Below are 14652 nucleotides of genomic sequence, written 5' to 3'. Positions count from 1 at the left end.
GTGATCGCTCCCCACAAGGACTTGTTCTTTCATCTTAGCAAGTCAGTCTGAGCAGTAATGTAGCCCTCTAACTAGCGGGAATGCATATCCACACCTTAGGGTTTTAGGACTTTTATCAACAGGGAGGAGGGTGGTATGTGCGTTGTTGTAGACTGGGGAAGAAAGGAGCAGCTCCGTGTGCCTTTCCACTTAGAAAGTGCAAAGTTGATGGGCCCTTTGCTTTTATTTCTTAGAGAGATCCCAAAGAGACAAAGTAGTTGGGACGAGGCTCCACTTATGGTTAATAGAAATTCTTTTGACAAGACTTTTAAGCCTGCATGCCCACGTTTTCTGTGAGCTGCTTTATTAAGAGAAGCACAACAGTTTTGCCTTGTTTCGTAGCTCACCCTATTAATTACTGCTCAAAGCTTCCCCTTGCTGAGCCTTGCCCTCTGTGCCAGACAGCATGTTAAGCTGCTGTATATATTCAGTCATGCATTGCTTAACAGCAGGAATATGTTCTGAGAAATGCATCATTAGTTTCATCACTGTGCAAACCTCATAGAGTGTGCCTGCTAGAACCTACTCCAGCTGTCCCCAACCTTTTTGGCACCAGGGACTGGTTTTGTGGAAGACAGTTTTTCCAGAGGTGGGGGTGGGGGTGGGAGTGCAGGGGATGGGGGTAGGGGATGGTTTCGAGATGAAACTGTTCTACCTCAGATCATCAGGCATTGGATTCTCAGAAGGAGTGTGCAACCTAGACCTCTCATATGAGCAGCTCACAACAGGGTTTGCCTATGAGACCTGACAGGAGGCGGAGCCCAGGCAGTCATGCTCACTCACTGCTGCTCACCTCGTGATATGCAGCCTGGTTGCTAACAGGCCATGGACTGTGGCCCAGGGGTTGGGGACCCCTGGCCTACTCTATTGTATGGCTCCATTATAATCTAGTGGAACCGCCTTGTACCGTGGCCCGTCATGGATGGAAACATGGTGATGTGGTGCATGACTGTGTAGCTCACGCCTGACACGCACGCATCATCCCATCCTCATGGCAGCACGTAACTGTGTAGCTCACGCCTGACACGCATGCCTCATCCCATCCTCATGGCAGCCATACGAGGTAGGTATTCCTATCCCTTCACATTGCAGGTAGGAGAACTGAGGCTAGAAGTTAAACAGCATACCCCATGGTGGAACCTGGACTCGAACCCGGGTCTGTCAGATACGGAGCCTGTGCCCTTGCCACTACACGAGGGTGCCCCATCTCAGTTAAGGGCAACATCAGCCGTGCAGTTGCTCAGACCAGAAAGTGACTGTCCCTTCACTCCTTTCATTCCCTCACCCTCGTTCTCACTCTCTCAGCAAAGCCTCCTGGCTCTGCCTCCTAACTGTGCCCCAAATCCGATGGACACTTTTTTCTATCGTCCATCACCAGCTTAGTCCAGTTCCCCATCAGCCCTTTCCTGGAACACTGGCTTAGTCCGGTTCCCATCAGCCCTTTCCTGGAGCACTGTAGCAGCCTCTTAAACTGGTTTGCCTGCTGTCATTATAATCCATTCCCCTACAGCAGTGGAATATTTTTAAAATCCAAATTAGATCACATCACTTCGCTGTTGAAAACTACCAGCGACTGCCCAATTGCAGTGAGAAGAAAACCGACCCTTACCATGGCCCACAAAAGGCTGCGTGATGGGGCTCCCGCCACCCCTCTTACCCCAGGCCCCCATCTTCCTTTCTGTCCCTGACTCACCAATATGATGCGACTCTTGCCACCCCTCTTACCCCAGGCCCCCATCTTCGTTTCCGTCCCTGACTCACCAATATGATGGGACTCCCGCCACCCCTCTTACCCCAGGCCCCCATCTTCCTTTCTGTCCCTGACTCACCAATATGATGGGACTCTCGCCACCCCTCTTACCCCAGGCCCCCATCTTTGTTTCCGTCCCTGACTCACCAATATGATGGGACTCCCGCCACCCCTCTTACCCCAGGCCCCCATCTTCCTTTCCATCCCTGATTCACCAATATGATGGGACTCCCGCCACCCCTCTTACCCCAGGCCCCCATCTTCCTTTCTGTCCCTCAGACTCACCATATGCTTTCCAGCGTCTCCACCGGGTCTCCCTGCTGAGAACACCCTTCCTTGGGTTTTGCCTGAGCAGTTCCTTCTTACTCAGCTCAGCCGTCATCTCCTCAGAGACCTTTTCTGATGACCCTGTGTGTAGAAGCACTTTCCCACCCTCATCCCCAGCTCATCCCACTCCCTGAGTTTTCTTCTCACCACTACAGTGCCGCCTCTCTAATCCATCTTCCTCACTTGCATCCCTGGTGCACCCAAGAGTGCCTGGAGCAGAGTGGATGCCCAGTACATCATTGTTGAGTGAGCGGCAGACACGTGCTGTTCCCTCCGCCCTCCACCCCTCATATATTTCACTCTGAGGCATCCTTCAGCTCTGGCTCAGACATCTTTTCTTTAGGGACGGCTGCGGCCCTCTGTTGCACGTTTCCATGACGACTGCTTTTCCTTCCTGGCCCTTCTCACTGTTTGTGTGACTGTTGGATTGAAGGCTGTCTCCCCCAGCAGACTCTAATCTCCATGAGGGCGGAGGCTGGCCTGTCTTTCTCACTGCTCTACTCCTAGGGCCAAGCATATCCCTTTGTTGAGTGGATGAGGGAAGGAATGAATCACTTTTCCTGTACTAACTTGGTCCACATGTGGAATGCATGTGCCACAAATGAGTGAGCTAGGAGCTCCTTGATGTCCACAACTCCCCTCATGTTAATAGAGGACGGGCATGGTGGCTCACGCCTGTAATTCTAGCACTTTGGGAGGCTGAGACAGATGGATTGCTTCAGGTCAGGAGTTTCAGACCAGCCCAGGCAACATGGCAAAATCCCATCTCTACAAAAAATACAAAAATTACTTGGGTGTGGTGATGTGCACCTGTAGTCCCAGCTACTCAGGAGGCTGAGGTTGGCCCATGCTCACTCTATCCCAGATGGTGACACTGAGCGAGTGGCCTGTGCTCACCTGCCTCAGATGGTGCCTGCTTCTTCAGGGCTGCCCGTTAGGTTCGACTTCTTCCTCCCCTCTCCGTTTTCTTGATGCTTTACACCGGCGAGAGTAGGTTCAACTTCTTCCTACCCTCTGCGTTTTCTTGATGCTTTACGCCAGCGAGAGTAGGCTCGACTTCTTCCTACCCTCTGCGTTTTCTTGATGCTTTACGCCAGTGAGAGTAGGTTTGACTTCTTCCTACCCTCTGCGTTTTCTTGATGCTTTATGCCAGCGAGAGCAGAGCCCGGGAACGTTCTCAGTCCACGTCACTGACATCTGCTGTTTGCCATGATTTCCAATAACACATTATGTTTTAAAAACGAGGCCCATCTTTATGTAATTGTGAGGTGCTGTTATCAACCCAATAGACTTAGCAATAGATGAGGGGCATTTAGTTCAAAAACTCAAATTCTGTGTCTGTCACTGAATGATTTTGATCAAAGCTTTTAACTTCAGTTAGCTGACTTGCTTTTCATATCTACAAAGGACCAAAAGACTTAGAATCATAGTGACTCAGCTCAACAGCATAATCCCAGAGCCCACTGTTAAGCCAGTGGAATCAGGAGTCTAATGCTATTACCTAATTTAATTTTTTTATGGTTGTTGAAGATTAAGCTTGGTAGATTCCCTTTATTACTATTCCTCTCTCTCTAAAATATCAGCAGCCCTTAAGAAGACAACTCAAGCTTAGAAATACTGCTTTCTAACAAGAGCTGTACATTTTTAAGGATTTTTTTTCTCTCATGTTAGGTAAAGAAGCCAAAGTTTGGAGTGTGCAAATGTGAAATACTTGCTTGGGTGTTAGACCATATTGTTTATCACCAGGATACCACAAAAACCATCATCTTACTACTGATTACCTCGAGCTAATGCCATCACCACAAGGCTTTGTCATGCACCGAGGCTGTATCTGTCCACATCACTTGCATCCAAGTGTTTTGGCCAAAAAATAAGCAGTTATTAAATGACTGTTAGCAGTATTGTCTTAAACCAAAAACCAGACGCAGGTGTAGTGCTTTTGTGCAATGTATTTATTTTATTGTATTTTATTTTTGAGACGGAGTCTCGCTTTGTCACCCAGGCTGGAGTGCAGTGGTGCCATCTTGGCTCACTGCAACCTCCACTTCCTGGATTCAAGCAATTCTTGTGCCTCAGCCTCCCAAGTAGCTGGGATTACAGGCGCCTACCACCACGCTGCTAATTTTGGTATTTTTAGTAGAGACAGGCTTTCACCATGTTGTTCAGGCTGGTCTTGAACTCCTGACCTCAAGTGATCCGCCGCCTCAGCCTCCCAAAGTGCTGGGATTCCAGGTGTGAGCCACTGCACCCGGCCTTTGTGTAAGTTTTGGTTTTATTTTTGTTTGTAATAGCTTCAGATGGTGTCCTGGCACTTGGCAAAGTTATTCACGCTATAGTCCATCTGCTGTCCCTTTTGGCTTAGAGATTAATTCAGATTGACCCACTGGTATTGGCTAAAATACCAAGTACATTTAGAAACTCCCTCTCCATTAACTTCTCGTCTCCAGAGAGCCATGCCTTGCCCCCTTCCCTCGTCCCCAGCACCAAGCAGTCCCTCTTTTCTGTTTGTCCAGTTGGCCTCCTTTCTGCTAAAGCCTTCAGCTCCCAGGCATAAACAACATCTCTAGGTGAAAACTGTAAAGGAATTCCAGAGAGCTGCCTTGATTCTGTAGTTGTACTGGAATTAACGTCATCAGTGACCCTTGTGTGTATCATGTGCTGCTTCTAGGGTTTCACATTTGATCCTCCAGATAGTCCTGTGACTACATCCTCATTCAGCAGATGAAGTTACTGAGGCTCAGAGAAGCTGGGTGATAGGGCCAGTGCCGCACGGTTGGAGCTACAGCTACCATGCCTCCTGCCTGCAGCCTTCCCACTGGCCCATGTTTCCACTCCGTGATGTATTTTGAAATAGTGGTCATATTTGGAAGCTGAGAAGTCGATTTTCTCAAGGAGATTTCTGTTGTGGTTGTTGTAATGGGGCTTACTTGGGAAGAGACATCTGTTAATCTAGAACACATGAGATTAGTTTTGTAGTTTGTTCTTGCGTTGAAATCCATCTGGCACTTTGATTCATTTCTATTTACTGAGGACCTGCTACATGCTAGGCACTGAGATAGGATGGGGAACAAGACAGACACAATCTCTGCCATCATGGAGGCCAGAAGGGAAAAGACAAATAATGGGCAATTGCTATATTTTAATAAATGCCTGGGTAGGAGACATGTAGCTTGGTTTGGGAACACGTGTCAGGGACATCTGACCCAAACCTGACAGATGGGAAAGGCTTCCCAGCAGAACGGAGTTCCGGTTTGAGGACTGAGGATGCGTGAGCGTTTTAGCCAGATTCGAGTTGGGGCGGGGTGGTCGGGGAGGTTGCAGGAAGAGGGAAAGCACTGTGAAGGCCCGGAGGCAAGAATGTGGTCTGGGTTGCCTCAGTTCTTCTTTATCAGATAGCGTGCATGACTTCCTTGTTGGAGACACCTAGAAAAAGCAGATCAATGGGGAAAGCTATTGAATATGCTCAGAAAACACTTCTCTTTCTCATATCTACCTAACAGAAAAAGCTTGAGTCTCCACCCCCATCTACCAATCCCTTCCTGGAAGATGAGCCAACACCAGAGATGGAGGAACTGGCAACGGAGAAAGGAGATTTAGATCAAGTAAGTCTGGTTTGCGTCACCACGGGTAACCTACCCAATGTGCGTTTCTGAAAATCGGTCTGCTTGCTCCAGATACGATCCTTTGGCTCTTGGCCACGTTCAGAGATGACAGCTGTTGTGGTCTTTACAGAAGGCCTTTATCTGAAAGTGCATGTAGAAAACTCCATGAAAGGGCAGACTTCCCTGCCCACATCTCTGCTCCTGAAGAGCCCCGCCTCCAGGACACACACAAGCTTCATTAGCCACTGTGGTGGGGCCAGGAGAGTTCTGCTCTGCCTCATTCAGCATCTCCTGAGCTTGTCAGCTGAGTTTTTGGTTTGACTGTCATCTGGTACAGTGATGATGAGAGAGGCTGAACAATCCCCGGGAAGCCAGCAGCACCCTCGGCTAGGAGAGGCCTCCATGCAGTGTAAGCTGATCACTTTAGGTCTGGAAGCCATTGGGGAGGCCTGGAAATGTCAAGGTGGCCAGTGGCATATTTGAAGAGTTACTTTTCAGAGCACACTAACACTTTAATTTCCTTTGGATTTTTCTGTCCAAGTCTAAATTTCCTCTCCCTTCATCCTACAGAATGGTGTTTTTGGTTAACTGCCATGTTATGACAAGGGAGGTTAGAGCAATAAATCAGAACGTTTCCCTTCTAGATTAGTGATCCCTGTTTTTAATTGTCTACACTTGGCTGCTGGAGGATTATTTTACGGTATTGTTTTGCTCCAGACACCACCAAAAGGGAGGCTGGCTGGGAGGACCAGCTCTGAGAAACCTGTAACCATGTACTTTGCAGCTAGCCCTGCATTCATTCTTTCCCAGCACCACAAGGGCAGGAGCCAAGAGAGCAGAGCTTCCAGGAGCAGTTCTGAAATGATGCAATCAAATGTGTCTGGTCCCTTGATTAAATGATTGTAATAGAATGGATACTCACACTTTTATAGTCCTTTGCACTTTTAAATTCTTTTACATGCTTTATGTTATCGTCACAATTCCTGCCTCTTGCTTTATAGGTGATGAAACTGCAGCTCAGAGAGGTTAAGTGGTTGGCCCAGGGTTGCACAGCTTGGAAGTGGAGGAGCTTAAACTGGAAGCCAGGTCTCAATGTCAGAAACTAGAATTCCTTTCCCAGTGCTATTTTGTTGATGGACTCATGTCTCATTGAAGAGTAGAGGACATAGAACTGAATCTCAGGAATAGAAGTAAATGAACAAAACTGATGGGACATCTTGAGGAGGCTCCATCCCGGAGATGTATTTATAGGATTAGATGCAGTTGATTTAAAGCCGTCATAGTATTGACTGGCATGGAAGAAAACAAACAGTTTCTTGTAACTAATTAAATGCAGTTCTCAATTGCATTTTGGGAGCAGGGACTAGGGTGGAAAGAAGGCTCTGGGTGTAGAGCCCATGCTTCTGGCATGTCCTCCACCCACACAGGGCCACCTCTGCCCTGTGAGCATGCTTTGCGCAGGAGAGCCATTTGCAGAGCCCTGATGTCTCACGAATGCTAGTAGCTGCCATGGTCATGTCCGAAATTGTGCAGTTAAACACTCAGATGCTTGCAGTGTTGCCAGGAAAAGTTATTCTTTTCGCTAGTCATCTCTGGATGTTATTAAATTGGATTAAGATAGGCCCCATTACCTACAAAATCAGTTTTGCCAGGTAAAATGTAATTTTCCTTTTTCTTGGAACTTTTTCCTCCTATGAAAGCTTGAAGTTACTGTTGTAAGGACCAAGACCTGCTCATTCTAAGAACACAGAACACTGACATCTGACCAGTACATGGGGTAAAGCAGAGTCAGGTGCTGGGAAAATGCTGGACTCTTGTCGGCCATTAACCGACTGACCATGTGACCTTCAGTAGGTTATTCTCTCTTTAGACTTCCCTAGCTTGTCTTTAGTGAGAGCTAATGGTTTTCAAACTGTATTCCTTGGTGCCCCATCAGATGTCACTGTGGAAGTTAGGAGGAGGCCAGAGACCTAGATCCCTGCGATCAGAGCAGTTTTATCGCAAGTCATTTTGTTTTTGTTTTTTTTTTTAATTTATTTATTTTTTATTGATAATTCTTGGGTGTTTCTCACAGAGGGGGATTTGGCAGGGTCATAGGACAATAGTGGAGGGAAGGTCAGCAGATAAACAAGTGAACAAAGGTCTCTGGTTTTCCTAGGCAGAGGACCCTGAGGCCTTCCGCAGTGTTTGTGTCCCTGGGTACTTGAGATTAGGGAGTGGTGATGACTCTTAACGAGCATGCTGCCTTCAAGCATCTGTTTAACAAAGCACATCTTGCACCGCCCTTAATCCATTTAACCCTGAGTGGACACAGCACATGTTTCAGAGAGCACAGGGTTGGGGGTAAGGTCACAGATCAACAGGATCCCAAGGCAGAAGAAGTTTTCTTAGTACAGAACAAAATGAAAAGTCTCCCATGTCTACTTCTCTCTACACAGACACGGCAACCATCCGATTTCTCAATCTTTTCCCCACCTTTCCCCACTTTCTATTCCACAAAGCCGCCATTGTCATCATGGCCCGTTCTCAATGAGCTGTTGGGTACACCTCCCAGACAGGGTGGTGGCCGGGCAGAGGGGCTCCTCACTTCCCAGTAGGGGCGGCCGGGCAGAGGCGCCCCTCACCTCCCGGGCGGGGCGGCTGGCCGGGCGGGGGGCTGACCCCCCCACCTCCCTCCCGGACGGGGCGGCTGGCCTGGCAGAGGGGCTCCTCACTTCCCAGTAGGGGTGGCTGGGCAGAGGCGCCCCTCACCTCCCGGATGGGGCGGCTGGCCGGGTTGGGGGCTGACCCCCCCCCCCACCTCCCTCCCGGACGGGGCGGCTGGCCTGGCAGAGGGGCTCCTCACTTCCCAGTAGGGGCGGCTGGGCAGAGGCGCCCCTCACCTCCCGGACGGGGCGGCTGGCCGGGCATGGGGCTGACCCCCCCACCTCCCTCCCGGACGGGGTGGCTGCCGGGCGGAGACGCTCCTCACTTCCCAGACGGGGTGGCTGCCGGGCAGAGAGGCTCCTCACTTCTCAGACGGGGCGGCTGCCGGGCGGAGGGGCTCCTCACTTCTCAGACGGGGCGGTTGCCGGGCAGAGGGTCTCCTCACTTCTCAGACGGGGCGGCCGGGCAGAAATGCTCCTCACCTCCCAGACCGGGTCGCGGCCGGGCAGAGGTGCTCCTCACATCCCAGACGGGGCGGCAGGGCAGAGGCGCTCCCCACATCTCAGACAATGGGCAGCCGGGCAGAGACGCTCCTCACTTCCTAGATGTGATGGCGGCCGGGAAGAGGTGCTCCTCACTTCCTAGGTGGGATGGCGGCCGGGCGGAGACGCTCCTCACTTTCCAGACTGGGCAGCCAGGCAGAGGGGCTCCTCACATCCCAGATGATGGGCGGCCAGGCAGAGACGCTTCTCACTTCCCAGACGGGGTGGTGGCCGGGCAGAGGCTGCAATCTCGGCACTTTGGGAGGCCAAGGCAGGCGGCTGGGAGGTGGAGGTTGTAGCGAGCTGAGATCACGCCCCTGCACTCCAGCCTGGGCACCATTGAGCACTGAGTGAACGAGACTCCGTCTGCAATCCCGGCACCTCGGGAGGCCGAGGCTGGCGGATCACTTGCGGTTAGGGGCTGGAGACCGGCCTGGCCAACCCAGCGAAACCCCGTCTCCACCAAAACCAGTCAGGTGTGGCGGCGCGAGCCTGCAATCGCAGGCACTCGGCAGGCTGAGTCAGGAGAATCAGGCAGGGAGGTTGCAGTGAGCCGAGATGGCAGCAGTACAGTCCAGCTTCGGCTCAGCATGAGAGGGAGACCGTGGAAAGAGAGGGAGAGGGAGACCGTGGGGAGAGGGAGAGGGAGAGGGAGAGCTGCAAGTCATTTTGTATTGTGGGCTTTCAGATGAAATTTTTTTTTGAACCAGAGGTTTTATGTAATTTAAAAAAAAAATGGCCGGGAATGGTGGCTCATGCCTGTAATCCCAGCACTTTGGGAGGCTGAGGCAGGCCGATCACCTGAGGTCAGGAGTTCAAAACCAGCCTGACCAACATGGTGAAACTATGTTGAAACCATACTAAACAACATGGTGAAACCATACTAAAAATACAAAATTAGCCGGGCGTGGTGGTGCATGCCTGTAATCCCAGCTACTCAGGAGGCTGAGGCAGGAGAATCGTGTGAACTTGGGAGGCGGAGGTTACAGTGAGCCGAGATCACGCCATTGCACTATAGCCTGGGTGACAGAGTGAGACTCCATCTCAAAAGAAACAACTAAACCCCCTAATCTAGCTGATCCACCCACCATTTCATGGGCTATTACTGATTAGTAATAACACTTACATGCCAGTGACTAATGCCTCCACCCACGCCATCCCTTACCTCCTGCTGCGTCACCAGCCCTGGCCTTGCTGGTGGCTGATTAGGTGGGCGCCCCAGGATCTCCCTCTTCCCAGAGTGGGGTGCACAACAAAAGCAGACCTCTTGGGGTGGGGGAGGGACCCCACCAGGTGTTAGTGGTGAAATCAGCCAGAGGTGGTTGGAGGGAAGGTCTCTGCCGGCTCTGTGGGTGACCTAACCCATTTCATGGCTGCAGTCAGTAGCCATGTGGCCCTCAAGGTAAGGGTCACACCCTGCTCACTACTGCAGTTTACGCCTCGCTGCTGAGAAGAGAGAGGGAACCTGAAAGAAGGTATTTCGTTTACAAGAGGGCCTGAGCAATCAGTTGCCAAGATATTCCCAATGATAAAAACTGACATCTGAAAGGAGCCTGAGGGACACTGAAAGCATAACAGAAAGGAGCAGAAATAAGGAATGTCCCTTCTGGTGATCCGAGCGGTTCGATTTAATCTGTTTACATTGGGTAGTAATGAAAGGAAGTGGGACCAGCTGCAGACCTCCTCACTGTGACAACAGTAACCTTTTATTATTCCACCAAACTCCAGGAGGAAATAGCTTAAACATCTTCAGCTTTTGGACAGAATTCACACACTCAGAACCCGGCCCAAACATTACTGCTAAATGACTTAGTGTAGTGTTTAAGCTGAGAATCAACCCTTTGGGCAGTTGCTTGGTGCAAAGGGAAATGCCAGTTAGCCAAAATTCCAGCACCTACTATCTAAACTGAGCACGTTCATAACGTAGCCATAGGCAGGAGGCAGCCCTGCAGGAAAAAAGTAAGAAAAAAGGAAACTTCAGGCAGTCTCTCCCATTATTCCTCTCTTGCTTCAGCTCACTAGAAGTGCTGCAAGAGGACCCGGGTGCTGTGGTGGCAGGGTCAAGGGTCCCTCCTCACTGCAGAAGAGTGCTGTTGGTGGGGAGGGCAGGGCAGGGCAGCGTCATCTGCAGATAGAGGTGGAACCCTGGCACTGCCTGGTCATGCAGCTTTCTGAGTGTCCTGTGGGGCCTCATCAAGGGCAGGACCTGTGGGACGTCATCAAGGGCAGGGCCTGTGGCAGACTGAACAAGATGAGTTCGTTGGAATTATGTAGCCATTTTCTTTACTCACTTGGAATCTGTATTTTATACCTAAGAGATGAGCTCTTCACACTTACTCCAACATAGTTTCTTTCAAATCATATATCACTTTTGTGCATACATAAAAAGGAAACTATAGGCAAAATAAATAAAGATATTTCTAAAACTTCTTCACATGCAGGTCCACATCTTCTGAACCACTTTTTAAAAAACTTTATATTTTGAAATAATTATGGGCTCATAAATTATAAACCTAGTACAGCGAGGTACAGTGTACTGATCTCCCAGCGTCCTCCAGGGGACAGCTAACATAGTAGAGTCCATCATCAAACCAGGAAATTGATCCAGACCCCTTCCCATCTCCCAGCTTCCTCCAGGGGGACACTAGAGTGCATCATCAAACGAGGAAATTGATCCAGACCCCTTCCCATCTCCCAGCTTCCTCCAGGGGGACACTAGAGTGCATCATCAAACGAGGAAATTGATCCAGACCCCTTCCCATCTCCCAGCTTCCTCCAGGGGGACACTAGAGTGCATCATCAAATCAGGAAATTGATCCAGACCCCTTCCCATCTCCCAGCTTCCTCCAGGGGGACACTAGAGTGCATCATCAAACCAGGAAATTGATCCAGACCCCTTCCCATCTCCCAGCTTCCTCCAGGGGGGGCACTAGAGTGCATCATCAAACCAGGAAATTGATCCAGACCCCTTCCCATCTCCCAGCTTCCTCCAGGGGGGACACTAGAGTGCATCATCAAACCAGGAAATTGATCCAGACCCCTTCCCATCTCCCAGCTTCCTCCGGGGGGGCACTAGAGTGCATCATCAAATCAGGAAATTGATCCAGACCCCTTCCCATCTCCCAGCTTCCTCGAGGGCAGGGCACTAGAGTGCATCATCAAACCAGGAAATTGATCCAGACCCCTTCCCATCTCCCAGCTTCCTCCAGGGGGGACACTAGAGTGCATCATCAAACCAGGAAATTGATCCAGACCCCTTCCCATCTCCCAGCTTCCTCCAGGGGGACACTAGAGTGCATCATCAAATCAGGAAATTGATCCAGACCCCTTCCCATCTCCCAGCTTCCTCCAGGGCAGGGCACTAGAGTGCATCATCAAACGAGGAAATTGATCCAGACCCCTTCCCATCTCCCAGCTTCCTCCAGGGGGACACTAGAGTGCATCATCAAACGAGGAAATTGGTCCAGACCCCTTCCCATCTCCCAGCTTCCTCCAGGGGGACACTAGAGTGCATCATCAAACGAGGAAATTGATCCAGACCCCTTCCCATCTCCCAGCTTCCTCCAGGGGGACACTAGAGTGCATCATCAAACCAGGAAATTGATCCAGACCCCTTCCCATCTCCCAGCTTCCTCCAGGGTGGGGCACTAGAGTGCATCATCAAACCAGGAAATTGATCCAGACCCCTTCCCATCTCCCAGCTTCCTCCAGGGGGACACTAGAGTGCATCATCAAATCAGGAAATTGATCCAGACCCCTTCCCATCTCCCAGCTTCCTCGAGGGCAGGGCACTAGAGTGCATCATCAAACCAGGAAATTGATCCAGACCCCTTCCCATCTCCCAGCTTCCTCCAGGGGGGACACTAGAGTGCATCATCAAACCAGGAAATTGATCCAGACCCCTTCCCATCTCCCAGCTTCCTCCAGGGGGACACTAGAGTGCATCATCAAATCAGGAAATTGATCCAGACCCCTTCCCATCTCCCAGCTTCCTCCAGGGCGGGGCACTAGAGTGCATCATCAAACGAGGAAATTGATCCAGACCCCTTCCCATCTCCCAGCTTCCTCCAGGGGGGACACTAGAGTGCATCATTAAACCAGGAAATTGATCCAGACCCCTTCCCATCTCCCAGCTTCCTCCAGGGGGGGCACTAGAGTGCATCATCAAACCAGGAAATTGATCCACACCCCTATTTCGCTGAGGCAGGAGTGCCTTTGCCTCCCACACAGTGTTGCCCTCCAGCCCATGCGGTGTTGACAATGTGCCATTCTTTATTTATTTATTTATTATTATACTTTAAGTTTTAGGGTACATGTGCACAATGTGCAGGTTAGTTACATATGTATACATGTGCCATGCTGGTGCGCTGCACCCACAAACTCGTCAGCTAGCATTAGGGCATTAGGTATATCTCCCAGTGCTATCCCTCCCCCCTCCTCCCACCCCACAACAGTCCCCAGAGTGTGATGTTCCCCTTCCTGTGTCCTTGTGTTCTCATTGTTCAATTCCCACCTGTGAGTGAGAATATGCGGTGTTTGGTTTTTTGTTCTTGCGATAGTTTACTGAGAATGATGATTTCCAATTTCATCCATGTCCCTACAAAGGACGCGAACTCATCATTTTTTATGGCTGTGTAGTATTCCATGGTGTATATGTGCCACATTTTCTTAATCCAGTCTATCATTGTTGGACATTTGGGTTGGTTCCAAGTCTTTGCTATCGTGAATAATGCTGCAATAAACATACGTGTGCATGTGTCTTTATAGCAGCATGATTTATAGTCCTTTGGGTATATACCCAGTAATGGGATTGCTGGGTCAAATGGTATTTCTAGTTCTAGATCCCTGAGGAATCGCCACACTGACTTCCACAATGGTTGAACTAGTTTACAGTCCCACCAACAGTGTAAAAGTGTTCCTGTTTCTCCACATCCTCTCCAGCACCGGTTGTTTCCTGACTTTTTAATGATCGCCATTCTAACTGGTGTGAAATGGTATCTCATCGTGGTTTTGATTTGCATTTCTCTGATGGCCAGTGATGGTGAGCATTTTTTCATGTGTTTTTTGGCTGCATAAATGTCTTCTTTTGAGAAGTGTCTGTTCATGTCCTTTGCCCACTTTTTGATGGGGCTGTTTGTTTTTTTCTTGTAAATTTGTTTGAGTTCATTGTAGATTCTGGATATTAGCCCTTTGTCAGATGAGTAGGTTGCGAAAATTTTCTCCCATTTTGTAGTTGCCTGTTCACTCTGATGGTAGTTTCTTTTGCTGTGCAGAAGCTCTTTAGTTTAATTAGATCCCATTGGTCAATTTTGTCTTTTGTTGCCATTGCTTTTGGTGTTTTAGACATGAAGTCCTTGCCCATGCCTATGTCCTGAATGGTAATGCCTAGGTTTTCTTCTAGGGTTTTTATGGTTTTAGGTCTAACGTTTAAGTCTTTAATCCATCTTGAATTGATTTTTGTATAAAGTGTAAGGAAGGGATCCAGTTTCAGCTTTCTACATATGGCTAGCCAGTTTTCCCAGCACCATTTATTAAATAGGGAATCCTTTCCCCATTTCTTGTTTTTCTCAGGTTTGTCAAAGATCAGATAGTTGTAGATATGCGGCATTATTTCTGAGGGCTCTGTTCTGTTCCATTGATCTATCCAGGAGAACTTCCCCAATCTAGCAAGGCAGGCCAACATTCAGATTCAGGAAATACAGAGAACGCCACAAAGATACTCCTCGAGAAGAGCAACACCAAGACA

The 14652-nt window shown here is 49.6% G+C and overlaps 1 protein-coding gene across 12 annotated transcripts in view, besides 1 other annotated feature; it reads left to right on the top strand.

Annotated features, from left to right (window-relative positions):
• VPS53 (VPS53 subunit of GARP complex) overlaps nucleotides 1-14652 on the top strand; it is a 206172-nt gene that overhangs the window by 107327 nt on the left and 84193 nt on the right. For 11 of the 12 annotated variants that reach the window (XM_047436345.1, XM_047436344.1, NM_001128159.3 and 8 more), the window contains one exon: nucleotides 5617-5718. In XM_047436345.1, coding sequence (XP_047292301.1) covers nucleotides 5617-5718 — 102 coding nt within the window. Of the gene's footprint in view, nucleotides 1-5616; nucleotides 5719-7418; nucleotides 7569-14652 lie in introns of all 12 variants that reach the window. The other variant, XM_047436350.1, reaches the window with a different exon arrangement.
• Nucleotides 5226-6425: an enhancer, noted in NCBI's record as "BRD4-independent group 4 enhancer chr17:504328-505527 (GRCh37/hg19 assembly coordinates)". NCBI's record gives its function as "activates an origin of replication core promoter dependent on BRD2, P300/CBP, MED14 and CDK7 cofactors, and independent of BRD4, by STARR-seq in HCT116 cells {active_cell/tissue: HCT116}" and the evidence as "EXISTENCE:reporter gene assay evidence [ECO:0000049][PMID:35650434]".

The sequence above is a fragment of the Homo sapiens genome, chromosome 17 (assembly GCF_000001405.40).
Source record: "Homo sapiens chromosome 17, GRCh38.p14 Primary Assembly".
Taxonomy (NCBI): Eukaryota; Metazoa; Chordata; class Mammalia; order Primates; family Hominidae; genus Homo; species Homo sapiens.
Note: the sequence above shows the minus strand (reverse complement) of the source record. Positions and strands in the feature narration are given on the sequence as shown.